The sequence below is a fragment of the Homo sapiens genome, chromosome 7, assembly GCF_000001405.40.
Source record: "Homo sapiens chromosome 7, GRCh38.p14 Primary Assembly".
In the NCBI taxonomy this organism is placed as follows: domain Eukaryota; kingdom Metazoa; phylum Chordata; class Mammalia; order Primates; family Hominidae; genus Homo; species Homo sapiens.
This window is the reverse complement of record NC_000007.14, coordinates 47,018,759-47,045,007: the sequence shown is the minus strand read 5'-3', so window position 1 is coordinate 47,045,007 and position 26,249 is coordinate 47,018,759. Positions and strand designations below refer to the sequence as shown.

Genomic DNA, 26,249 nt, shown 5'->3' with positions numbered 1-26,249 from the left:
CAGCATCATTATGTTTTATTGGACCATTTTGTGGATGATCTTACTTGATGTTCACAACAGCCAAGTGAAAAAAGCAAAACTAATTCCACATAACAACTGAACGTTTGCTGCACAGAAACATGGCTGGCAGGTGGTCTAAGGTCTAATGGAGCCAGCTGGTGCTGTCTTCTGCATCAGAGGCCCTTGCTAAGTCACAGCCACCGCTGGTCCTGGCCTAGGAGTTAAACCACAGACCACAGTGAAAGACTTGAAAGTGCAAATCCATTAACATGATCATCCCTGGCTTATTGCTAAGTAACAACAATTATCTTGACCCTTTTAATAGAAGAGGACATCCGCAGGCCTGACTGTGAGTGAGGCAGCTCACCTGGTCTTCCCACTCAGGGAAACAGTGAACTTTTCCTACCTTTCACTTGGTGCCCCAAACTAGGGTCCTTTTTCTTCGTAACACTTCTAAGTGTTTTAAATTAAATTAGTATTTGTTGTTTACCCTTTGTTTTTCTTAAACAACAATAAAAAAATTAGCTGAAAAGAACAGAAGGCAAACTGTAGGATAAACCATATATTTGTATATGTATGTATGCATGCACATGTGTGTGTTCACAGATATGTGCATATGTGAGTGTGTACGTGTATGCCTGTGTTTTTGAATTTCTGTATATTTTTGTGCATGTTTGTGGGTATGTTTTTATGTGTGTTTGTATGCATGTATGTTCGTGAGTATGTGTGTGTGCATACATGTGTACCTACAAGAGGAACAGATATATTTGCTTTGGTGTTTCTTTGCAGATTCTCTATGTTATTATTTTTTTCTTTTGTATCTCACCAGGTCTGCTTGTATGGAGCATTCCAGGCAGGAGTATAGTGGTTCCCACTGGACAGATTAATTTCTTACCTATAGCATAATCTCAACTTCTCCATCATTGCTCATAGAAGAGTCTATATCTTTAGCTCTTCCTTCTCTGATTTGCTAAAGGCTACATCCTTGTGTCTTGCAGACACCCACCTCCTCTCTCATATAGTCTATGAAATGCCTAGTACATTTCCCCTTTCCTCCTTGACTCCCCAACTTTTCTGTGCAGCAGAGAAAGAGACTCAGGATGTATTGCCAGGCTATCTGTTTGCTCCTTCTCTCAACAAAGATTCATGGGACCCGTCTTTGGAAGAGTGCAGGGTGCGTGGCCTGGAGGGCACATCAGTGGACAAGCACAGCCTTTCTACCGTAGGTCCAGTGAAGAAGAAAGTGCACAGGTGGCATCAGCGTAATGCACCTTAGGTCCAGGCGGGCACCAACACCAGAGGATGGGGCACATCTGACAGGATTTGGATAGGAAGAAAACTTGCTTTGTCCTGGGAATAACTCAAAGTGACTCCTTTATCATTCACAAATATTTTACATTGCTGTGACTCCTCCTACAACTGTATTCATATTCTCCCACGAATAATGCATGCTCTCTGGTTTCCTTGTTGCAGTTAGGGAGTGACTCTACTGAACTCTTCTATGCACTCAGATGTAGATTGCAGCAGCCTCTCCTGCCATCCCTCTGGTGTCTCCAACAAGCTCTTTGAGAATCCTAGTGGCCAATGGGTCACACACTTGACAGTCTCAAAAAACATGTTGCTTACGGCAACCTTGTTGCAACTTGAATATGCAAGAGGTTTTTAGGTGGTTGGGATACAATTAACTTCCTAAGCAGAACTAGGAGAATTGCTCAGGAAAGAAGTAACTGTGACAATCATTTTAGTTATCCACTCTTGGCCTCTTTTCTTCAGCCACATTTAATTTTTCTTCCCAGACAGGGTGGGAAAAAAGATGCTTTTATTCCTTGCTGCTATGACTAAAATAACAACAGATTTCTGTGAAAGATAAAGAAAGGAATGGACTTCCATTTAGCTCCACTCTGAGCCACTTCAAACCTTCTATGCTTTAATGCTCACCATAACCCTGTATAGTAAGTCCCATAGTCCATTTACCTAGATGAGAAACTGGGGATACAGCCACCTCATCCTGGTAATGGTGCTCAGGACAGGTCAGTCCTCCAAGTCCTCCACACCAGGGACCTGCTCGTTCTGGACAAACAGGGGTGGCCTGTAGGATGGCTTGCAATGCAGTGACTAAAGAGGCTAAGGTCTAATTTTCCGGGTTGGGGACTGCTGTTCTGCATCACCCAGATGTGATTCTGACCAAGCAGGTTCATGAGCCCAGTGATTCAGGGCTCAGCTGGTAACAGGGAAGCAGGAGGCCAAGAGTTTCTGTGAGTTCTTAAATACCCTGTAGTTAAGTCTGTGAGGGAAAATCACTTCAGGAAACTCACCAGATCATCTGCCGGTGGACTGTGTTCTGGCATGTCCATGTTGGGACCCATGCTGGATGCCTCCTCATGCTGCGGCCCAGGGAAGCTCAACTCCCTTGTGCTCTACACTTTGCCTCTCTAGCCTTCTCTTTCCTCCTGTCCTGGATGTGTCACTTACCACACTGGTTCCTCCCTCCATGTTCCTAACTGGGGACTTGTGGACTATGACCAGTGGTGCTCTTTGAGCTAAAGCCTGTTCTGTAGCTCCTGCTCTGACAGTCCCCTGACATCGCAGCCCCACAGAAGTTCTCAGGCTCCCAGTACCCTCAGGAAGCCCCTCAAGATGCTGCTCCCCATCCTTCCCTGCAGCCCAAATGATAGAGTCTACACCCTTCCTGGGTGTGCTGATCCCTCGGCCACCTGTCCTCATCCATTGCTGTTTAAACCTTCCTGTCAATCCTCAGCTCATGAGGTCACTCCTCATGAAGTTCATGGTCGCTCTCCATGAACTTCTGTAGGCAATTTTTCTTGTCACATTCTCCAGTCTTTGAAAACCCACCATTTGGGTTTGGGGTCTTTCAGGGAATATTCTCTGACTCTGAAAACTTGAAGAGACTGTGATGCTGGTAAGTACTGTGAATGCCCTTCCGTCATGGGGTATGGCTATGTGGCAAACTTCTCACAAGACCGTAATCTTGAGTGGAAGAGGTATGTCTGCAACACTTCCTTGAATTCTTTCTTAAGGTGCAAAGTGGCTTGCATGACATAGATTATCAGTAAATCTTTCTCGACTGCTTGACTCTACTTTAATGCATTTAAACCCTACTGAATATATATTAATATTGTAAACACAAAAGCATTCTCATTTGAAAATTATAGGAATTGCATTTGGGAGAATGCAGGAAATGAAGTGTCAGTGTACTGACGAGAATAGTCAAACAATATTAGAAACAATGAAATCAATGATTAATCAGTGTTTATTATGATGTATCTAGGATCCCCCAAAGTGACCATGTTCTTTCATCCAGCAACTTAGGTACTAAAGAAGAAATAGTTTAAAAACCTTTGTGCAAGAGATGTTATTTCTGCACTTTAAAGAAATATTGGCCAGAGAAATACTTCAAGTTCCAATTGTAGAAAAAGGTGTCATTGGAATTGTGATTTTTCCAAACTATGAAATATTATTATTTTGGGTATTGCATTTATTATTGCAGATGTTGAAATGACAATCGTGAAAAGCATTATAATATATAAAATAATGCTTTTGCTAGAACTTTAGGTTTAAAAACATAGGTTCATAAGGTAATTCAACACATCTAGCTCTACGTCTCTATCTCCAAACATCCAGTCATTTATATTATTTATATTTGTGTGTGTGTGCATGTTAGCAGTTGCGAATCTGTATGAGTCTGCAGCAATCTCAATTCTTGCCTCCTCAGAAAAAAGAATTCAACTTAAGGGGCATAAGGCAGAGTTAGAGACCCAGGCAAGTTTTAGAGCAAGAGTGAAAGTTTACTAAAAAGTTTTAGAGCTGGAACGGAAGGAAGTACCCTTGGAAGAGGGCCAAGTGGATGACTTGAGAGATTTAAAAGCATGGTTTGACCTTTGACTTGGGGTCTTATATGTTAGCAATTCTTCTGGGGTTGCATTACTTCTCCCCTGATTCTTCCCCTGCGTGGACTGTCTGCACGTGCAGTGGCCTGCCAGCACTTGGGAGGGGGCGCATGTGCAGTGTGTTTACTGAAGTTATGCACATGCTCACTTGAGGCGTCTTTCCCTCACCAGTCGAGAGTTCCCAGAGGAAGGTCATATTCCAGTTAAAGTCTGCCATTCTGCCTCTTAATGCACATGCTTGAGCACGCTCGCCCAACTCCTGAGATCTTATCGGGAAGCTGCTGATCACCTGTTTCAGGTGTTTTCTATCTATTAGGAGACTGCCTTTCCCTGGCATTGGCTTCGACCAATTGTTATTTTAGAGAAACAGTTTTAACAACCACAGAGCATTGGCTTCGGCCAATTATGATTTTAGAAAGATAGTTTAACAACCGCCTATCACCTGACATTCCTGGTGGGTGGTGGTGGGGGGCCTCTCCTGCCCTTCTCATGCCTAACTACCTTCTGTAAGGAGCATATATACACAGATGACACTGACAACACACGTATATGCATATCCCCAGTTATACATAGCAAGTAATTTATAACTAACTAGCTACCCAGAGATATATTGTCATTTATATGCATATACCCATGCACATATATATATATATCTAATCTGTTTGTATATCGGTTGTCTATCTATATATCTGTCTATATAACTGCATTAAAAAACTCACCAAAAAGTTAATAGTGGTTGTGTTTAGAAAAAGGCCTATATGGAACTAATTTTTTTTCTTTTATACTATGTGTCTCCTAAATTTGCTCTTATGAGCATGCATTACTTTTTGTTTTAAATAAAAACAATGTATTTTTTTTCAAAAGCACTTTGTCCACCATTTCACATTTATGACCCTTAAGACTTTCTAAAAGTTGGACTGCAATTTAAATAAAAATAGCCACAGCCAAGACAATGGGCATTTTTCCTCTCTGGCAACCACACAATGAGAATGCATTTGATACACAGCCCAGAACATTCCGAGTGAACTAACAGCAGGAAACACACTCAAGCTGAGATCATTAAAAGTTACTAGATGACAATTTGTTCTAAGTTTTGAAAATTAACCCAGCAAATATGATTTGGCCACAAGAGGAAAATATCAAAAAATCACCTAAACCCAGCTCTTCCAATGTTGAACAATCTTTTGCTGTTGTTTGAATATAGCCCAGATGTCTGCATTTTGTTCTTATGTGACTTTACAGAGGGCCCCAGTCATAGCAAAGAAGTTCCTACAGCTCGCTGAGAGCTGGGTGCACCCCAGGTGCCCTGCTGGGTATTTTTAATGTGGTGTTCTTATTATCATAGCAATCTTGCCACACAATACAGGTGTTGTTTTCTTCTTTTATAAAAGAGAAAGCTGAGGTAGACTGATGCTAAGTAACTTCTGAGAGGGTTGTGGTGACAAATGAAAGAATGAAGGTAAAATGCCCATTTCAATGCCTGGGGCATGGTAAACATTTAACAATGTTAACTGGTGTAATTAACAAAGGCAACATTCTTGGTGGGTCATGCCTGCGAGGGACCTTTCCACAACAGAGCCCTGAGATGCGAGATGTGTGGTCAGCAGGGCTCCTGAGCAGGGATTCCCACAGATATAATTTACTTCTTTGAGGCTAGGGGCCATGTGAATGGGAGCCGAGTTCCTACCTGTTCTCCATGGTGGCTGCTTTAAGACAAAGGCCAGCGAGAATCTGATATTGGGGAAAGAGCTTTCACATCAGGAAAGGAGTTAGCAGGCAGAAAGGCAGAATGATTTCTCACTTGGAAAAAGTAAACAAGAACTACAGGACACCATGAGTTCCTGGGAGGGAAAAGGGTTGGAACTACAGATGTGCAATAAAGACCCAAACACCCACTGAGTGCGACTTCTAGCCTTCCAGAAAGCTTCATGTTCATGATGATGTCCCCTGGGGCCACCCGTGGCTGGCTCAGCCTCTGTTCCTGATTTCCTTTTCATTGCTCTCAGGCTCTCTGTCCTCAACACAAATCCACATCTCACCCACTCTGTGCTCAGGTAGGAAAGCACCAAAGGAGATTGAAATAGTCTACTTAAATCTAGTGTCTGTTGCTGATGTTCTTTCCAGAATATTTTCCCATTCTGATCTACGCAGCAAGTCATAATGAAAAGGTGGCATGTGTCCATCTTCCTCAACTTGACCTAGAGTTTGGAGAACGGTAGCCCAGGGATTTACGTAACCTGTAGGCGGCTCACGGCGAATCCACCCTGCTTCTTTGTGCAGATTACAGCAAGCATCCCCCTGGGGAAGCACAGCACTGCAGGCAGGTGCTTCCTCCTCAAGGCAGACCTACCCTGCCCCAGCAAAGAAGCTTGAATTTTAGCTCTCTCTCCTCTCTTTGGCCAGACACCCTGAACAAAAACAGTGCACAGCCTATGCAACTGTACATACTGACCTTAGGTGGTAGAAGCCTGAATTATTAAAAGAAGCAGGATGAATTTATGTGAATAATAACAAACATTTTTAAAAGAGACTGAGGGAAAGTATTCCTGGATGTTTCAAGAAACCTGAAGCAGATTAACTTTTTCCACCTAAACATGTTGCTGACCAAGTAACACAACACATGATCTTAAAGATAAATGGACCCCCACTGGCCCTCCTGATTAATTCACATATTCATTCCACATTCACCTACTGTCTGCCTGGCCCTGTGCTGGCATTGAGGATTCAGGGACCAATGTGGCAGCCGCTGTACTTGTGAAGCATCTCACTTAACCTGGGGCCCATGGACATGACATCTAAGGACATGTATGTGAGTAAGAGTGAGTGCGTGTATGTGTGTGTGTGCATTTTCCAAGAATGGAAAGATTTCAGGAGATTTTAAAGAGATAAGAGGGACAGGGGAAGGTAATTAACCCTATGAGTTCAACAACAAAACTGACATCCAGATGAGCCCACAGAGTAAAAACAGAGCAGGAAAACAATTTGGCACACAATGTTATCTTTCTTGTTCCCATCCCTTGTGGTAACTTTTCTTTTGCTAATAGAATAGAAGAAAAAGATGGAAAGAGTCAGAAAGAACAGAAACATTGATATTCAACCATTTGAAACAAGAAAGAAACTCTAAGCACAGAAGGCAAAGAGGTGAGGGTGGAAGAAATGTTATAAAGCAAACGGCATGGAGTATAGCACACATGCACTTACACACACCCACATGACTGCACAGAACGAAAAAGGCGTGTAATACCTCCTTCCCATGGCTTAGCACATGTATATATGTGCATGCACATGTACAGAAAGAAAGCACGTGGCACACACTCGGTATGTCTTAGTACATAATTACATGCATGCACACACTGAGAAAAAAGGCATGAAGCACCCCACACATATGCACACACACACATATGTCTACATAGAAAGGGGAGAGCATGCACACAGCCCTTCTTGTTGCATTTTACACACATGTACACAAACACGGGGAAAGGTTCATAGTCGGTTTAGGAAATCATTGATGATAAAGGTTATTTGTTTTATTTCAGTTAAATAGATTAACTAGTTAAATATATTTCTTTACTGTGGGATTTCTCCAGTCCTTTAATATGCTAAAAGGAATTAACATATCTCAAGGAAAAGATATAATATATAGTTCATACTATGTCCAAAGGGTATTATTTTTTAATTTTTAAAGCATCTCATAAGACTAGTATTTTGTGGGAGAATTAGAGGAGAGTGAGCTAGATGTGACGAGCCCAACCACCTATCCTGATTCGAAGGAATGGTGTCATAAATTGTGGTGCAGAGTGGCCAGGATCCTTCAAACTGTGCTTATCACGGCTGGAGGGGCCAAGGCTGGATTCTCTGGGGCCTACCACACATTACCAAAGTGTAGTAATGAGGTGAGGAACGAAGATGAGAAGACTGAGGAGTCAGGGTGAATGTGTGATGATGAGGATGTTGATGTTGACGATGACAACGATGATGATGAAGATGATGATGGCAATGGTGATAATGATGCTGCTGCTGATGACAGTGACGATGATTAGGAAAGGAATAATGATGACAATGACGGTGATGACAGCAGAATTGGTGCTACTAAGAGTAAGCATTCCTGAGCACAGACTGAAGTGAGACTGCATGGAGCAGCTCCTATGCTGATAAGCATGGTGCATGCTGCAGCTGCTATTATTGTTGCATGTTAGCTTCCACTCAAAGTACCTTGTAAGTGCTATGTGTCTAATATGCATAATCCCAAGGAAAATGCAACCACCTCACTCCTATTTAATAGGTGGGGAAACTGAGGCTTAAATGGTTTACTTTGACAAGTTTATCCAGTCACTAAGCAGTAGGGCCTCCAGTTAGTTCAATTGTGCTCTAACCCCAGGGCCATACCCTTTGATCACTCACTCATGGAAGAGTTTCTTTATGACAGACAGTGCTAAGTATTTACAAATATCAATCCTCACTACAGCCCTTTGCCAGGTGTGTTATTGTTCCTGGTTCATAGAGGAGAACATGAAGGCAGATATTGTTAGGCAACTAGCCTAAGCTCGTCCAGCTGATACAAGTCAGAGCCCATCATCAGAATCAAAGCTCTCCCATTAATAAACAGGAGCACATTTCAATATATGTGTTTGATTAAAGATTGGTGGCCCTTCTGTACTTCAGGGTCCAGCAGGGATGGATGACACAGCAAGTCAGGGGAAGTAGCACACAGTGTGTGAGTTCTGCAGAATGATGTATGGTTGGCCTCCAATGGGCACACGTAGGAAGCCTGGAGCCAACTATTGGGGAAGCTCTTAGATACCCTGTGCTCTGACTCATTCATGCATTTTGTTATTTCTTGAGCACAATATAAGGGGAAGGACAATCTAGGCAGAGAAAAGAGCGCATGTAAGGACTTAGGCACGTGAAAAATGACACAGTACTTGGTGAAGGGCAAGAAGTTAGAACCAAAAATTTTGAGGCCAGGGGGAAAGCGGAGGTGTGTAAGGTAGCAATACTGTGGTCATATGTTAAGGGCTTGTGAACCATGCTGGAAACAACCGGCCCTGTACCATGCAGAAGTTACCAGGGACTTCGTTTTGTCTTGTTTTAATTGCCTTGGGGTGTTGAAGGTTTGGAAATGGCTTGAGCCCGTTTGTTTCCTAGGATGACATACCTGGAGGTGTGTAGCGGTATATCCTGGGATATGAACAAATGCAGAGACAACACAAACTGTCAAATGAAGACATAAATGATGAAGGCCAGTGAGAAGTGAGAGGGGCAATGGGACATCTTCATGGCTTCCGCCAGCTTTAGCCTTCTGTAAACTCTGAAATCCAGGGGCAGGGTCAAGGATGCAGAAAATTTTCCAACAGGAAGTTTCCTGTTTCATCTCATTTAGAGAATGGACATGTTGTAATGACTTGGCTATGAAGAAGAATGGAAAACACATTTTTCTAAAGCCTGCATTTCAAGGTCTCATATTGTAGATGGAATACTGCTGCAAGTCATGGCTTTTGCAGGTTAAAGAAGACAGGATTTTGTTCGGTCTTTTTTTTCTCCTGGGAGTGCAGATTACAGAACAAAAGCATTCTGTTGCATAAACCCAACACAAGGCATCAGAGTTCGGGCAGTTCACTTTCCCGTGCATTGGTGCTTAGCTAGAGATCACCAAGGGTCACACATCTAAGGGAATTCTCTGTATTCACGGGGAACCTCCGACTCTTGGGAAGACAAGTTTTCAAATGAAAAAAGAACAGTCAGTTCTCCAGAGCCGTATAGAAGAGCCTATCTTTCCAAAGTGTCTCTTTTTAGATGTCATCTGACGTGGTAGAATAAACTTGAGATTAGAATAATCTAGAATTAAAGTCCAATCCTCCAACGAAGTGGCTCTGGGACTCTGGCCATTTTCCTTAGTTTCTCTGAGGCTCTCTTTTCTTACCAGTAAAACTATGAATAGTAATAAGAATCTAGTGAATAAAGTTGTTGTGAGATGAAATGAATTAATGCAGGTGAAAATTGGGTTCAGTGCCTGGCACATAGAGGTTATTTAATAAATGGCTGGACCTGGTGGCTCACGACTGTAATCCCAGCACTTTGGGAGGCAGAGGTGGGCAGATCACCTGAGGTCAGGAGTTTGAGACCAGCCTGGCCAACATGGTGAAAACCCATCTCTACTAAAAATACCGAAATTAGCTGGGTGTGGTGGCGGGCACCTGTAATCCCAGCTACTCAGGAGTCTGAGGCAGGAGAATCGCTTGAACCCAGGAGGCAGAGGTTGCAGTGAGCCGAGATTGTGCCACTACACTCCAGCCTGGGTGACAGAGCAAAACTCTAACTCAAAAATTAAAATTAAATAAATAAATGCTGATTTGCTGCATCCCTCCAGCACTTTCCTGAGTTGCTCCCACATGAGGGTATACGTGTTTGGGGGCTGCAGATGGTACTCATGTGGAAGTGTGAGCTTTATCTTATAGGAGCCACACTTGCTGGAAGTCATCTGAAAATGGTTCAAACCCGCTATGGAGTTATTCACAGCAACATCACCTAAAGTCAGGGTGGAGTCTGGGTTGGGAGTGCCCTGGAACCAGGCGTGCAGGGAGAACTAAGGCCCCCTGACATGGGGGTGGCATTCCTTCCATCCCTGTTTCCCAGTGTCCATGTCCTACCAGCCCAGGACACAGTAGTGAGTGATTCATCCTTGTGGCAGTGAATGTCTGGGGCTGGGTGTGATGGAGGCAGGATGAGTGTGAGAGCCCCAGGAAAAGGCCACATATGAGGATTCAGTGTGGCCTAGTGCAGCTGCCTCAGCTTTGGGCTTGGACAGTTGCTGAACTCTGGGACTTTATGCCAGTTGTTGAGTGTCCTAATCTGAGAAGTGGCATCTGCCACTGCGCTGCTTTTTGAGGTTCTTTTATAATCATTTAAGGTTGTACATGGCACAAAGACTTGAGAGTCTCACATATCATAAAATGCTCAAAAACCTGTTTTCGGTTTGCTTTTTGTGCCGTATTTTAGAAATTTGTCAAGGTAATACATATTTATGATTTTAAAGATAGTAATGAAGAGCTAGTAATAAAAAGCAAAATTTCTGCCTCATTCTTTCCACTTACAGTTTCACTCTGCAGAGGGAAGCAAGTTTTATTCTCTTAACAATCTGGTTTAGTTTTTCAGCAACTCCATAGCTCGAAGTAATATGCTCATTCATCTATTCTTTTATTGATCCAGCTGAGATACTGCCTAAGATTTCTGGTTCTGATTTCCGGGATTTAGAACACAAATTCTATGATTCAAAATGTACACTTCAGCCCAAGTGTGTCCTCTTCAAGTTCCTTCTCTCTCCTGTACCCTGGGCCTTCAAGGTCAGGTTTCAAAGTGCCTTAACAGCTAGGCTAAGGGCTTTGAGCCTTGCCCAAGGTCAAGAGGAAGTCGTAAGGGAATTGTTACATAGGGGAGTTATATTGTTAACCATTATCATGCCATAGTTTGAGCCCAATCTTCCCAGCAGATGAGCAAATACAACAATTTGTGATCTTTAGAAAACATCTGGTTGGGTGTGATGGCTCACGTCTGTAATCCCAGTGCTTTGGGAAGCCAACGCAAGAGGAGCTCTTGAAGTCAGGAGTTCGAGACCAGCCTGAGCAACACAGCAAAACCCTGACCGTACAAAAAATAAAAATAAAAATTGACCAGGCACGATGGCTCACGCCTGTAATCCCATCACTTTGGGAGGCCGAGGCGGGCGGATCACCTGAGGTCGGGAGTTTGAGACCAGCCTGACCAACATGGAGAAATCCCATCTCTACTAAAAATACAAAAAAATTAACCGGGCATGGTGGTCCATGCTTGTAATCCCAACTACTCAGGAGGCTGAGGCAGGAGAATCGCTTGAACAGAGGAGGTGGAGGTTGCAGTGAGCCAAGATCGAGCCATTGCACTCCAGCCTGGGCAACAAAAGTGAAACTCTGTCTCAAAAAAAAAAAAAAAAAAATTAGCTAAGTGTGGTGGCAGCATATGCCTATAATCTCAGCTACTTCAGAGGCTGGAGTGGTAAGATTGCTTGAGGCCAGGAGTTTCAGGCTGCAGTGAGCTATGATCCTGCCACTGCTTTCTAGCCTGGGCGACAGAGCAAGACTCTGTTTCAAAAAGAAAAAAAAAAATCTTAGTTGGAATAAGATACAGATCAAAGTTACTTTTCAAAAGCCAGCTATGCTTTGTTAGGGGAGAGGGGAGTTGTGACTGATGCCTAGTGGTAGCTCTCATCATTATTTTCATGATCTTTGTTGTAGCTTGGCTTTGTAAGATTTTTGGTTTTGGTCTCCATCACCAACCTCTTTCTGTAGAACTGATGGATCTGGATAAAGCACACGTGACGGCTGCTGTGCTCTGAGCGTTAGGATCTGCTTGCTTGCAAGCCAACCCTCTAACCTCCATCAGTCAAATACACTCTTTTTTGTCCCAAACTGTGTCCTAGATTTTATGGAATGGGAATCCAGTGCCTCATAATCTACCTAACACCCTCTCTTAAAGTGTGTGGCCGAACTAAAGAGATTTTTTATCCCCATGATTTGTACCTTCTTAAGTTTTTATGGTTAATATTTTATTGTTTTAATGTGAATCACTCTCCAGAAGTGCTTCAGAGATGGTTCCCATGTGTTTCCTTCCAAAAATATCCATATTGCTCTACTGTGTAAACCTTACAGCTGTTTGTTTGGCAGATTCTCTTTTTTTTGTTTTTGTTTTTTTTTTGGTTTTAAGGAGTGGAGAGTTTAATAGGCAAGAAGTGAAGGGAGAAGACAGAAGGAAGAAGCTCCCCCTTACAGAGACAGAGGGAGGGGGGCTCCAAAGCTGAAAGAGGAGGTCCCCCGGCGGATTCTTTCTCAATGCTTCATTCTGAAAAGATTCCAGGGAAGAACTTTTGCCATAGAACATCTTATAAAAGTTATTCTTCTCACTCCAAATGAAAAATATTAGAGTAAAAGTCAGTAAGTAGAGGAATTATACTGGTACACCTTCAGATTTTTATTTTGCTTTTTCATAAGAAGGGCGTGTGTTAAAGAATAGCTTCATAATAGTGCAAAAATACAAACTTGTAATCCTGATATTGTACCACTGGTGGGTTCCCGAGGGTAAAGCAAGGGTCGGGTCTCTTGGATGTACATCAGTTTTCACATCTGTACGTTTTATGAAGTAATGAGGAACTTAACTGGTTTACTCCCCCAGCTCTTTATCCCCTGTATACTCCTTTCTCAATAATAAGTAAGCCTAAGATGATAACAGAATATGGAATATTCTACTTAGGTAAAACCTATTTATGCAGTCTCAAATATTTAGATGAATACTTGTCAATAGATGAAAAATCACTTGAATTTTTATTTTGTGTGGCTATATAAACAATGTCATGCTTGATTAACATCATAATGCTTTAATTGAAGGCTATGAAATCTAACCTGTTTGCTCACTATACATTTAGAAACATTTTTTTCTCATAGGACAAATTTGTCTCCTACTATGCTGTGCCCACCGACCACACTTCACAGCTTTGGGTGAGATACAGTATAAGTGAGTAGTGGATGTAAAACAGTGCCTCATATGTTGGATATGTGTCTGTGTCCGTTTGCTAGGGCTGCTGTGACAAGGAACCACAAACTGGGTGGCATAAGCCATAGGAACTGATTACTTCACTGTCCTGGAGGCCCAGAGTCTGAGAGCAAGGTGTTGTCAGGGTTGGCGTCTTCTGAGGCCTCTCTCCTTGGCTTGTGGATGGCCATCTTCTCCCTGTGTCTTTTCTCATAGTCTTCCCTCTGTGTGTGTCTCTGCATCCCACAGCTCCAAGCCCCTCCACTTATGGGGCTATCACCCTCAGGGCCAGATATCAGACAATTAGAGACAGCCCTTCTGCCCCAGAGCCCGGAAATTATTCGGACCAGCCGATCCTGAACCTGCCTACCTGGCCTCTCCCATGCATTTCTGCAGAAGCGATGGTAAAGGCTCTTGCCCACATTTCCTATTCTCCCTCTGCCTCCTGGCGACCCTGGTACTGCCTTGTGTGGCTCCCCGTGGTCTGAGGATCCCCACTCCTCTCAAGCTGTCTTTTCAAAGGCAATCATTTCCTGATCTGTTGGCTTCACCATGCATCACATTTTCTATCAATACACTGCATTTTCAAACACGCTCGCCCTAGACACAGCAGCAGAGCCCCATGGTGCATGGTCCCTGAAGCAACACTACCCTCGCGCCAGTTTTGCTTTGCCACCATCTCTGATGTTCCCAAGCTCTTTTACCTCCTCCTCTGAGGATCCTAACCAGGTCCTTGGAAGGATTTTCCCTCTCTGTCTTCTGCCTCTCCATGATGGCTATTATAAAACCAGCTGTGTTGTGCAGTGCTTGGGTATGCTCATGTGTACCCTACTGATTGAAGGTAGGAACTATGTCTTTCCAGACGTGAGGGCCCCAGAGCCAGCAAATGTCCCTGGGATGTAGGAATGCTATCCACCCCTGTCATACAGCCATTCCTCTTAAGCACAGAGGCACACAGATCAAGAATTAAAAGATGACAAGGAAGAGATTTTATCGTTAATTCTTTGTGAAGTCAGCCCTGATGTGCAATTTTATTTTCCCAAGTCCCTGTTCCCATTGGAATATATCTTAGTATTTTCAAATAAATGCAAGAAGCTTTAAGTAACCAGAGAAGACTGTAGTGTGATCTTACTGTCTCCTAGCCCCATGTCAGTTAAAACTCTCTCACCTTGTGCTTACTTGGGATTAGTCGTCACATATGTGGGGTATAAAATACCGTGTATTATATTCCTGGAAGCCTAAATAAGAAAGAAGGAAGTGTATATTTGTATTCTGTGCCTACCTTTCAACAGAGAAAGGCAATGTTTAAATCTCTTACTTGCAGTTACCCATTTAATGGCTGATTCTGAGAGTCATTCAACCTCAGAGTGAGAAGATCTGTCAGGGTCCTGTGGCCCAAGTGTGGGCAACAGCCAGGGTCTGAAGAGGTCAGATGACTTTTTTAAATTAATGAGAAATGTGACTGTGTGTGTATAGAGATAAAACCTCTGAGTAAATATTACAAATAAAAATAAACCAGTGAATTATTTTGCCTATAAAAATGCCAAAGTTTTAGATGCTTACAGATATCCAGATGTTTTGAGTCTTGCAGGATCTGATTTTCAGTGGATAAAAACTGAATTTATTTGCATATGATTTAGTTGGTTAACTGTCATCTAATTATTCTAGATCTCCTTGGTGATAATAATTGGCTGATAATTGGTTGATAAACCTGACATTAATAGTTATAATTTAGTTAATGAAATGTACGCATATGCAAATTGAAGTGTAATAATGTAATATTTTACAAGTTGTCTTCCTAAAGAGATGTCCCCTGTAGGGAATTATTATTCATTTCAGTTTTAAGTTAAATTACTTTATAATTGCCTGTGATTCTGATATAGCAGGGGTGCTCTTTTTTAAAAATAGAAAATGGGCCAGGTGCCATGGCTCATGCCCTGCAATCCCAGGACTTTGGGAGGTTGAGGCAGGTGGATCACCTGAGGTCAGGAGTTTGAGACCAGCCTGGCCAACATGGTGAAACCCTGTCTCTACTAAAAATGTCAAAATTAGCTAGGCATGGTGGCAGGTGCCTGTAATCTCAGCTACTCGGGAGGCCAAGGTAGGAGAACTGCTTGAACCCAGGAGGGGAGGTTGCAGTGAGCTAAGATCGTGCCATTGCACTCCAACCTGGGCAACAAGAGTGAAACTCCATCTCCAAAAATAAAAAATAAAAAATAAAAAAAAAATAAAAAATAAAAATAGAAAATGTTCAGAAAAATATTGATTTCTTCCTTTTTCTTCTACTTTAAGTTTTTCTTTCCTTCTTCCTTCATTCCCACTCTTCCCTCCTGCTCTCCCTCCTTCTTTATCCTCTTCCATCCTTTTCCCCTTTCTTCTCATAGGCCTGAAATAAAAGGCTAGGCATCAATGTCCCAAACATCCTGCCGAATATACATTAATTTTTTTTTTTTTTGAGACAGAGTCTCACTCTGTCACCCGGGCTGGAGTGCAGTGGCGCCATCTCGGCTCATGCAAGCTCCGCCTCCCCGGTTCACACCATTCTTCTGCTTCAGCCTCCCGAGCAGCTGGGACCACAGGTGCCCACCACCACTCCTGGCTAATTTTTTGCAAATATACATTAATTTTAATGAAAATTGAATTGGGATCTACACCAATAAAAGAACAGATAGTCAACATTTGGTTCTTATGAAGAGAAATCGCCTAGTGTTCCAGATTTAACAATAAAATTATAGAAAGCCCACTTCAATCAAAATTTCAGATTAAAAAAATCAATAATTTTTCAGTATATCTAAGTTCCATGCAATATCTAGGACATACTTACATGGAAACATGACTCTTGGTTACCTGAAACTTAAACAGAACTCAGCATTCAGTATTTTATCTGGCAACCCCTCAAGGCAAAATAATTGATTCGGGAAAGAGGCAGATCCAATTTGAATTGCACAATGCATTGGATTTGCACTTTATTAGTGTGTGATGGCCGCACCTCTCTAAATGTCTTCTCAGCAGCACAGGGATGCTTGCTCATGTATCAAGATGCTGCCCTGAGGTCTGAGGGAGATCATGTTTATGCATCCTGGGCATATAGGAGGGGCCTAACCAGGCAGTTCTCCTTTTTTGCACAGAAGCCCTTGGGGATCCTAATGCCCTTCTTTCAGAGAGAAATTTCTCCTCTCTCACAAGTTGAACAGAGCCTGGCAGTTGTGCAGGACAGCTAGGCACTGGGACTATTCTGCAGACATTATTTTCGGTTATTTTTCCTTCCATCTTCTGATGGGAGTAAAAACTGTAAATTAAAAACAGCCTGCAGGCTCTAGCAGTTAACTGGGCAAAGTGTCATGAACAGAAGATTTAAGGTTTAAAGATGTGCTCTAAATTCTAGTGGGAATTAGTTTTTATTAAACTCTAGTTTGGTCTCACTTCATTGCTCAGCTTTAAGAGCAAAAAAAAAAAAAAAGACAATAAAGGACTTAAGTAATTTTCTGCAATTAAAATCTTCTGGAATTTTAAAAAGCCCAATTATATTGGCATTTGCCAAATATAAATGCATTTTCCATCAACCCATCCAAGAGGAGCTGAATCAACCATCAGATTCTCAAGGAGCTGGTGGTGACTCTGCAGTCAACAGCTTGGGAATCAGTGGTTCCAGGTCTGGTCCTTCGACTGATTGTGGCACAAAAGACTACCTTCTCCCAGGGGTGTTGCATGCTCACAAATCCTCATGGCCCCTTGGCGTCATGCATATTGGAAAATAAAGAACTCAAAAGTAGGGAAAAAGGGAGAGGAATGTGTAGCTCTTTGCAGAACAGAAGTGATGATTTTCAGAAAAGTGCAGCTATTTGGGTGGCATCCCTTATGCATTGCTGTAGTTGACAGATGCCCATACTTGGCTGCATATCCGGTGGGCTCAGGCCACAGCTACAGGGTCTCAGCCTCTAGGAAGGGTCTGCAAAGGGGCAGACTCAAGATTGGAAATTCCTGCCTCACCCAAATTTGACTGCATTTACTTCCAGGTGTAGAGAAACTTTGCAACACACTAAATAATTTTTTCAAAAGTTCATTATAATATTAATAATAATAATAGTCACAAGAGGACCAGTAGCTCCAGGATTTGAGAATATACGGTGTGCTAACCTCACATGCTTTATTTACATCACTTGCTGATGAGCACAAAGAGCCCAGCTGCATGAAATGACATCTCAGGCCATGTGGTTAGTGACTGGAAGGGTTGGGGTTCCAGGTCCCTTGTCCATAACCTGGTGCAGCTGGGAAGCCCTAAGATGTGTCCAAATGATGGGCTCTTCCTTCTTCAAGTTCAGTTCCCACAACATCCGTCCAACAATCCCCTGAAAGTACCAAATTGTTGAATGATGTCACTCAGTTTGATAAATGTTTTATAAATACACAATTTTAAATTTCTATGAACACAGGAAATGTTCTAATACCAGGTGGTCCTACTCAAGCAAACTCATGCTCGAAAATTAGATGGCTAACAAATGAGGCCAGGGCCATTGGCTTGCCTTCTCCCCAAAGGACTAGTTATCTTCACTCACAAAATGTAGCCTCAGTGTTTACCTCTAATCCCGGGAAGACAGCCAGGCAGCTCTTGTGTCTGATATTATTACGATGCTGGAACAGCACAACAAACAAAACACCCCAACAACAGCAAAACCTTGGAACCTGCTCGAGGCAGGGACAGCAGGTGCCCTTGTTAAGAGCCTGGCTCTGGAGCAGAAGCTGCAGCTTTTGCTCCACTCCACCGTAACCTGTTTTGTGACCTTGCTCACACCATTGGACCTCTCTGCACCTGTTTTCACAGGCATGAAACAGCGGTAATAAAAATATGTACTTGATGGGGTTTTGTGAAGATTTAGGGGTGATATACATCAGCACATAGAACATTATCTGACACACATTAACTTCTGTGTAAGTGTCAGTGATCAGCAGCAGTAAAACAAGTGATAGCAAACTATCTTGAAACGTGTATTTCCAAACCAAAAGGAGATTGCAATAGTGGAAAAGGGGAGAAAACTTGGATGCCAATCAAAAGGGATAGATAAATTATGATGGAGCTCTGTATTGTTTTTTATAAATCTATGTATTCTTCACTGTTAGGCCACAAAGTAGAGCTTTTCTTGACATCTGATGGCAGCACAATAGTAAGCTGCACCGCTTCTGTGGACATTGCAGATGAACACATAAAACCTCTCCCTCAACCAGATCCTGTACGTGACAATGAAGAAACACATGCTCAAGTGCTGAAAAATAGATTAGCAAAAAAAAGGTCAGTACCTTAAGCAAGGACCACGATAGAACAACTTAGCAAAATGTTCTTCATCACTCAGTACTGGTATCGTTGTGGGCAGTATCAGTCTCACAGTCATGGTAAGAATGTAGATGGTCTGAAAGACAAACAATATTGAAGATCTCAGGAATCAAAGAGAAATGTTATCGTGTAATTTATGGGCCATTTGAGAAAATGCAATCTGGTGTATTCACTAATATATTATACACTGAAATAATAATAAAATGTATTTTCATATATTTTAAAAAAAGAAGATGCAAATTCCAGATGCAAAATTCTAGTAAGCAGCAGAGCTGAGATTTGAAACCCATTTGGGCGCTTCTAAAGGGCTTATTCTCTGTATTATGGAGCACACATTTTGCCTCTGCTCTTCACAGGCTGAGACCAGGGAGATGCTGGCCCAGGATGCAAAGGCAGGAGAAGTGTTTCCCCGGTACTGGGAAGACTTTCAATAGTATTAGCCGACTGACATGCATAGAAAGCATGATTCCACAGATCCCCATTGTGGCTGAAATACCTTCCCTTACCTCTTATGGGTAATTTAAGATTAACTAAGCCGTTTAGGGTTCTAAAGTTGATTTTTTCTGATTATCTTCATTAGCCTTATCAGAGTCAGTACCTTGAACTGTAATTTTCATAAAATTTTAATTTCCAGTAGAACATCAATATGAACAAAAACAGCTTCCCATGACCCTCCAAATGAAGTATGGTCTGGATATGAGTACAAAGTACGGGTATGGCCTAACCCAGCCTTGTTATCCTTGTGTTTTGTTTTGTTTTTAGACTTTAGGTTTCCGTACTTGAAAATTGTAGAAAATAGGACATGATAGTCCTATAGTTCTTATTATTGAGAAAGCTTCAGGCTGAAGCCGACTTCCTTCTGCTAGTAGAAAAAAGAGTCTGTGACCATATCCTTCAGCCTCTTGTACAAATTCAGTTTATATATAAACTCAAAGTCTTAGCTAGACCGTGGGAATTTTGGCAGTGTTTACTTACAAAGTTAAAGTGACCTAGCCAGGAAAATGATTTTAAACTGAATATTGTGAAGTATTGTCAGTTGAAGATGAATATTGTTACCATCCATAGTGCAGTGTTGAATTCATTGGATTGACAGCAGGAAGTAGTTCCTGAGCTCAGCGCCAGGAGCAAGCCATGTGCAACCCATTTTTATGTTTTAAGTGTTTCCATAATCAGACACAGCTTCAATTAGGAAAGTTGGTATACGTTTTTCATTTTCATGTGGTGTTTAGTCAAACACTAAGGGATAAAAATGGAAACCAGAAAGCCCTAGGGGAATCAAAGGTTTTTATTTATCCTGGAGCCCACTGGGCATCCAAGATCAATTGAACCTTTGAGCTGTTTCTAAATATGGAAGACAGTTCCTGAATCTCTTCTCAGGAGATTGTATATGTGCAAATACTGGGGGCTGTTGTTCAGCTGAATCAAATCTTTGCTCTCCATCCATAGTGAACAGACAAAAGTTCTTTCTTCAGTGAAGTAAAGTATACATAAGTGGTAAATAAAACCAGCGTGCAGACAGGTCAAAATAATTGTTAAAAAAAGTGTTTGAAACCTCTGCCCCAATCTTCCAAATGCTCCCCCTATGACCTCTTTGCAACCTGCCATCCATTAGCACTTGGATAAACCTAAATCTATCCACTTGAAAGCCAATCCCAGTCAACTAGAGGATCATGATCCACCTGATTTTCAGGATACCAAGGGGATAGGGTCTGGATTCACATTTAAATGGGGAAAAAGCTACACAATCAGATAAAAAGTAACATTTTGGCCAGTGCCTACAACAGAGATATGTGCTGACCATCATGAGGAAACCATAGGTGGGTCCATATATTTTGCGGGTAAGAGCGTCAGTGAGGAGTAAATGTTCTAGTAGGACCTTGCTGGGTAAGAGGGGTATTCCTGGCAGACACAGAGGAAGGGTGATCTGTAGGGAAAATAAGCAGACAGCTGAACTATCTGTTCAGAGATGATTGCATAGTTCTCTGTGGCTGGAGTACAGGTAGTGCTGAGGGAAATGACAGAAAATGGAGTGGATAGGTCAGCTGAGCCAGCCTCTAGTGGATTTCACTTGGTGTGCCAAACCCAGTCGCTGGGCAACAGCCCCTGGGGATGAGTTGCCAGTGCTTCCAGAGGTGGCTGGTTGAGGGTAGCTCAGAAACAGGGTGCCTCTGGCCCGTGTTCTTCTCCTAAGGTGGGCCTTTGTTTTTTCAGGGCAAGTTCCCTGAGAAAAGATATAGTGACAGTACAAAATATCATTTTTTCTACTCCATGGCTCCAACAAGACTAATTTTTTAAAAATTTTAAATAAAAATAAATAATTTACTTAATAATAAATAATAAATTATACATTTTAAATAAAATAATCATTTTGCTGATGTACTACTGCCTGTGGTTCAAAAACTTTGGGAGAAATTCATCTTTTTATTCTTTTTAGCAATGCAATTTTTACATGATTCTCCTTTATTTCTAATATATGTGATTCATCTGATGAGTGAATAAATACCATTTAATTTCATTCAGTAAAAATTAAATAAAATGTACATGCTATCATGTGGTATGTATTTTTAAGTATAAAAAGAATAAATAATATTTCTAAAATGCTTATTAATTAAAAACAATTTTAACATGGCTTGGTGGTTAGGAATGCTTTTAGCTGCAAGTAATCAAAAATTTACTTTATAGTGACTTAAACAAATATGGATTCATTTTTAATCTACAACAGGAAATCTGAAGAATTGCAGTGCCTGCTGTTGCTGGAGCTGCTCAGCAGTGCCATTCAGAAGCTGGACTTTCTAAACCGTTCTTATCACATTGGCCAATTGTGCTCACACTGATGCCTCACTCACGGTTGCAATGTGATTGCTTTGGATTTTGAAATAATTACTGGGCACAAGATGGGTAAAAGGGAGAAAAGGCTCAGTTTAAAGCCTATCAGAAGCACCCATGCACTTTTCCTCCATATTTCTTGGCCACTCTCAGCTGTGAAGTGAATATCTGCTTTTATTTTCTGGAGAGTGGACAGTGACAAAATGACGATGGTAGGAAGTGCTTCATCAGAGAATGAGCCAATAAGCCATGTCTGCCAGGAAGGGACCATTATCATTTTTTTCCGTTTTACAGATGGGGAAACTGAGGTTTGAATGACCTAAGAGAATTGTACAAACTTACATAGCTTGTCAGTGATAGAAACAGGACACAAACTTCTTATACTTTCTGTCAGTGTATTTCAGACCTCACAGCTTTTTCTGAAATACTTGCTCCTAATCAGGATCTTTTGCCTCAAGAATATTCTTGACCTTTCCCTTTCTTGGGGAAGCTTGAAACGTGCATAAGCCGAGTTCACCAGATGAGCTCTCCTGGGGACGTAAGGGACAAGACTGTAGGGCCACTAGCTGGTTGGGAAGGAATTCCTCTCTCCTGCGATGTGCTCAGATACAGATGCTTTTGCATTTCTTTATCCACTGTGGCCAGGCTGTGGATAAAGAAATGTAAAAGCATCTGTATCTGAGAACATTGCAGGAGAGAGGAATTCCTTCCCAACCAGCCAGTGGCCATTCAGTCTCGTCCTATATTATTTCAAAGCTATTTCAGAAATAGTAAAAAAAAAAAATTGCTTTTTGGAAACTACCATATATTATAAGATCATCTTAGACTGTCTTATTTCAATAAATAGTGAAAAGTAGTACCCCCATGGAGCTCTTATCCCTTTGGTAGAAATGTTAACACCTCACCCCAGCACTATTCATGTCCCATTATCTTTTATCTTTCACATATCTGTGCTTATAACATAAGAGGCGTTCTGTATTTCTTTGTTTCTTAGAAAATAATATGTTTCCCTTTTATGGCCTTTCTCATAATTGCCATGTGGGATTTGTTTAATTCTATGTTTCCTTTTATTAATTGATGACAAACATTGTGGATGTTGAATTAATTCAGGAAGGATTATTATTGGAGATAAGTCCAACTGCCCTAACTCCTAGGACAGGTTCCAGATGTGATTGTTTCAAGGTGTGTAACCACAACTTATCAAGAGCCTGGAAATTCAGAATGCTGCTGTTGATGACAAAGCTGCTTAATACTTTATGGTACTTAGTACTTCACACTGGAAAAAGACTTTTATGATCAGTATAATGGAAATAACTTTTATTAAGTCATAACTCATTGCCAAGAATTATATGTGGGCTTTGGCTTTTCAGATGGGCATAAAGGTCAAATAAACTTTCTGTTGTTTATACGACTAACCTATTTAGAGTCCCAAACAACCTAGTGGCCAATTACCTGATCTTACCAATTCAGGCTAATCTCAGATACAACAGGGATTTCTTCAACACTTTAGAATTGCCTTTTCTTCTCTGAAAGGTGTCATCGGGCTGCTGGTGGAGTATTAAGGCATTGGAGATATTTTTGTGGGCACCCTCTGTCTTCTACTATCACCGGCTGAGGTGTAACTCATCTGTGCTGGCATTGGTTGGGAGTCTCTTTTGGTGTTTTTGGTGCCTTCTTTGTCCCTATCATCAGGTCTTCCCAGGGGTCTTGCCATCTCTTCCAATGTCAGAGCTCCTTAGTTCGAGCAGTATCAGTAACTTGCTTGTCTCTTTCAAGACAAGAATATTCTCAAATGCTCTTGTATACTGCCTAAGGCTACTGGAAACCTTGAGGATGGTTCAACTCCCTCTCTTTCTAGACATACATGGACAGCACGACTGCTGTTTCTGTTGCTCATGAAGATGCTCCACAGGTCTTTTTTATCATGTTTGCAACCTCCTTGATTCACAAGTCTCCTTTGCCCACTGTCTCCCTATCTTCTCCTTACTCACACACCTGTGACTCTCCACCATCTCAGTGATCTTCCGCCCACTCTCAAGTTTCTCCTCCCTCAGCTTCTTCTTTCTCAAACTTCTCTTCTCTCAAGCTTGTCTTCCCTACAGCTTCTTCTCTCTCAAGCTTCTTCCTCCTCTCCTCCCTCTCTAGGCTCTTCCTTATGTCAGTTGGGTTTCAGTTAGGGTGGGGAGGATGTTTATAGATGAGACTGTTTATAGGTATTTGAGTTTAAAATAATATCCAGTTTATTAGCTAGCCTACAGTTTTAAAAACAGCATTTCTTATTTTTTAGGGCATATTTTACTTTACATATGAATCTAGTCAATTTTGTGTTATTTGTTTAATATTCAATTACAGATTGAACCCCTAAAAATTTACCTTCATCTGCAAGCATATGTACTTCTTCAACTTTATCAAACTGAAATTACAACAATGTTTCTGGTCGACTCACCACACATCTCGAACATGGAAGCCTTAACAGTCAAACAGACAAATGCTCTCTAGGTTGCAGTGCTACTGAGGCAGGAGAATAGGGCTTGGAGGTAGAGAACATAAGGCCGATGCACGCTGACTTCCTAGAACTAAATCAAGTGAAAGCCCCTCAGCCATGACAGGAACGTGAATAGCTTTGTAACTTCACTTCATCCTCTCCATTGAAGTAGACCACACACACCAAGTAACGTCCTCTCCATTTACACTTTGTAACTTCACATTCATCCTCTCCATTTACCTAGATCACACAAACCAAGTAATGTCCTCTCCATTTACAATAGGGTGCATTCCAAGTAAACGACTCTGTGACTTCACTTCATTCTCTTCATGTACGTAGAATGTACACCAAGTAACCAATGGGAAACCTCTAGAGTATTGAAACCCCAGAAAATTCTGTAAGCGGGCCCGTGAGCCTCTATGCTCAGGCCCACCCCCACATTGTGGAGTGTACTTTCATTCTCAATAAATCCCTGTATTTGCTGTCCTTGCTTTGTTTGTGCATTTTTTCCAATTCTTTGTTCGAGATGCCAAGAACCTGGACACCTTCTACCAGTAACACTGTTACCAGCCTAGTGCACCTGAGCTTACAATTATAACAACAATACTGGACTAAGCATTTAGACACTGTTTATAATACAATTGTATTCAGTCACATTTTTAAATTGCAGTACCATTCTGTGATGTCAGTTTCTATTAAACATTTCAAATTATAACCAAGAATTTAAATAACAGGTTTTCTATTTTGTCAGTGTTATGGCCACTTTCAGAGGCAGATGGACTCCATCCAAAATTTGGTTTGGATGTCAAGACTGTTGGTACTACACACACATATGATCTCAAAAAAGGAATAAAAGGCATTTGATAAAAATCAATATACATTGTGTATTGATATGGTTTGGCTGTGTCCCCACCCAAATCTCACCTTGAATTGTAGCTCCCATAATTCCCATGTGTCATAGGAGGGACCTGGTGGAAGGTAATTGAATACACACACACACACACATACACCAAGAGAGTATGAAAAAGTCAAAATCGAGATCTCTGGGGAGAGCAGAGCAGGTTTCTCAAGCAGGTCCTACATGGCTCCTGCTGTGTAGGGCTGTGGCCAGGGCTGGGGCTGGGATGAAAGTTCTCTCAAGCAGACAGGCACTTGCATGGTTTTAATCTTGCACTGGTGCCAAAGGAAGGAGCGCCCAGGCATCTTATCTTGCCCAGATGTGGGGCACAAGGAGAAGAAGAAAGGTTGGGGCTTAATAGATGTCAGCAGCAGTCCAACATCAAAAAATGGAGGGAGACCCAGCAACATGGTTAGATTCTCATAAACACTTCACTCACCTTGAATAAGAAAAAAACCACACATGAATGGTAGTATTGATTGGGAATTTACCTGTTAATCAATGCAACTCAAAAGCATTAATTCTATGGGTTTAATTTGAGTTAGCATCCTATTCTGTCCTATTTCTATACCTTCCCTGGACACACAGACTCTGACACAGTAGAGAGCATTTTACTCTTTTCAGATGGCTGAATCTAAGATTCAGAGTGGGGGTGGAATTGGCTCAATTAACTATTTACCTGTTTTTAACGTAAAATTGTCAAACTTGAAAATGCAGGTCCTGTATTATTTCAAAACTATTTCAGAAATAGTAAAAAAAAAATTTGCTTTTTGGAAACTACCAGATATTATAAGATCATGTTAGACTTAGTCTTATTTCAATAAATAGTGAAAAGTAGTATCCCATGGAGCTCTTATCCCTTTTGGTGGAAATATTAACACCTCACCCCAGCATTATTCATGTCCCATTATCTTTTACCTTTCACATATCTGTGCTTATAACACATCTATGTATTTTTTAGTATCAACTCAGGTATCATTATTTTTGAGTACTTTTTAAAAAAGACATTAAAAACAATTCCAAATGATAAAACCATGGAACTCTTAGCTATTTAAACTTTTGTATAAAAATGCAAATTTTTGTATTAATTGAAATAAAACCAACTTGTATTTTGAGGACAAGAATACTCTTGACAAAGACAATGCAAGAAACATATAAAAAACATGAAAGAAAATATTACCATGGCAAATATACACAAATAACAAAATGTCATAACCGAATTGAAGTCATTCTAGGAATTGAAGT

The 26,249-nt window shown here is 41.4% G+C and overlaps 2 long non-coding RNA genes and 1 pseudogene across 2 annotated transcripts in view, besides 1 other annotated feature; 2 read left to right on the top strand and 1 right to left on the bottom strand.

Annotated features, from left to right (window-relative positions):
- The window catches only part of LOC105375268 (uncharacterized), a 79,190-nt gene that overhangs the window by 34,802 nt on the left and 18,139 nt on the right, over positions 1–26,249 (top strand). The window lies entirely within an intron of this gene.
- Positions 5,130–5,912: an enhancer, noted in NCBI's record as "NANOG hESC enhancer chr7:47078694-47079476 (GRCh37/hg19 assembly coordinates)". NCBI's record gives its function as "activates a minimal SCP1, AML or CMV promoter by ChIP-STARR-seq in primed H9 embryonic stem cells {active_cell/tissue: H9 hESC(primed)}" and the evidence as "EXISTENCE:reporter gene assay evidence [ECO:0000049][PMID:30033119]".
- Positions 17,580–18,871, bottom strand: LOC124901627 (uncharacterized). Its single transcript, XR_007060317.1, has 2 exons — positions 18,762–18,871; positions 17,580–17,815 (listed from the first exon to the last, which is right to left on the bottom strand). It is a non-coding gene; the product is annotated as an uncharacterized LOC124901627 (long non-coding RNA).
- Positions 18,536–18,886, top strand: MRPL42P4 (mitochondrial ribosomal protein L42 pseudogene 4; annotated as a pseudogene).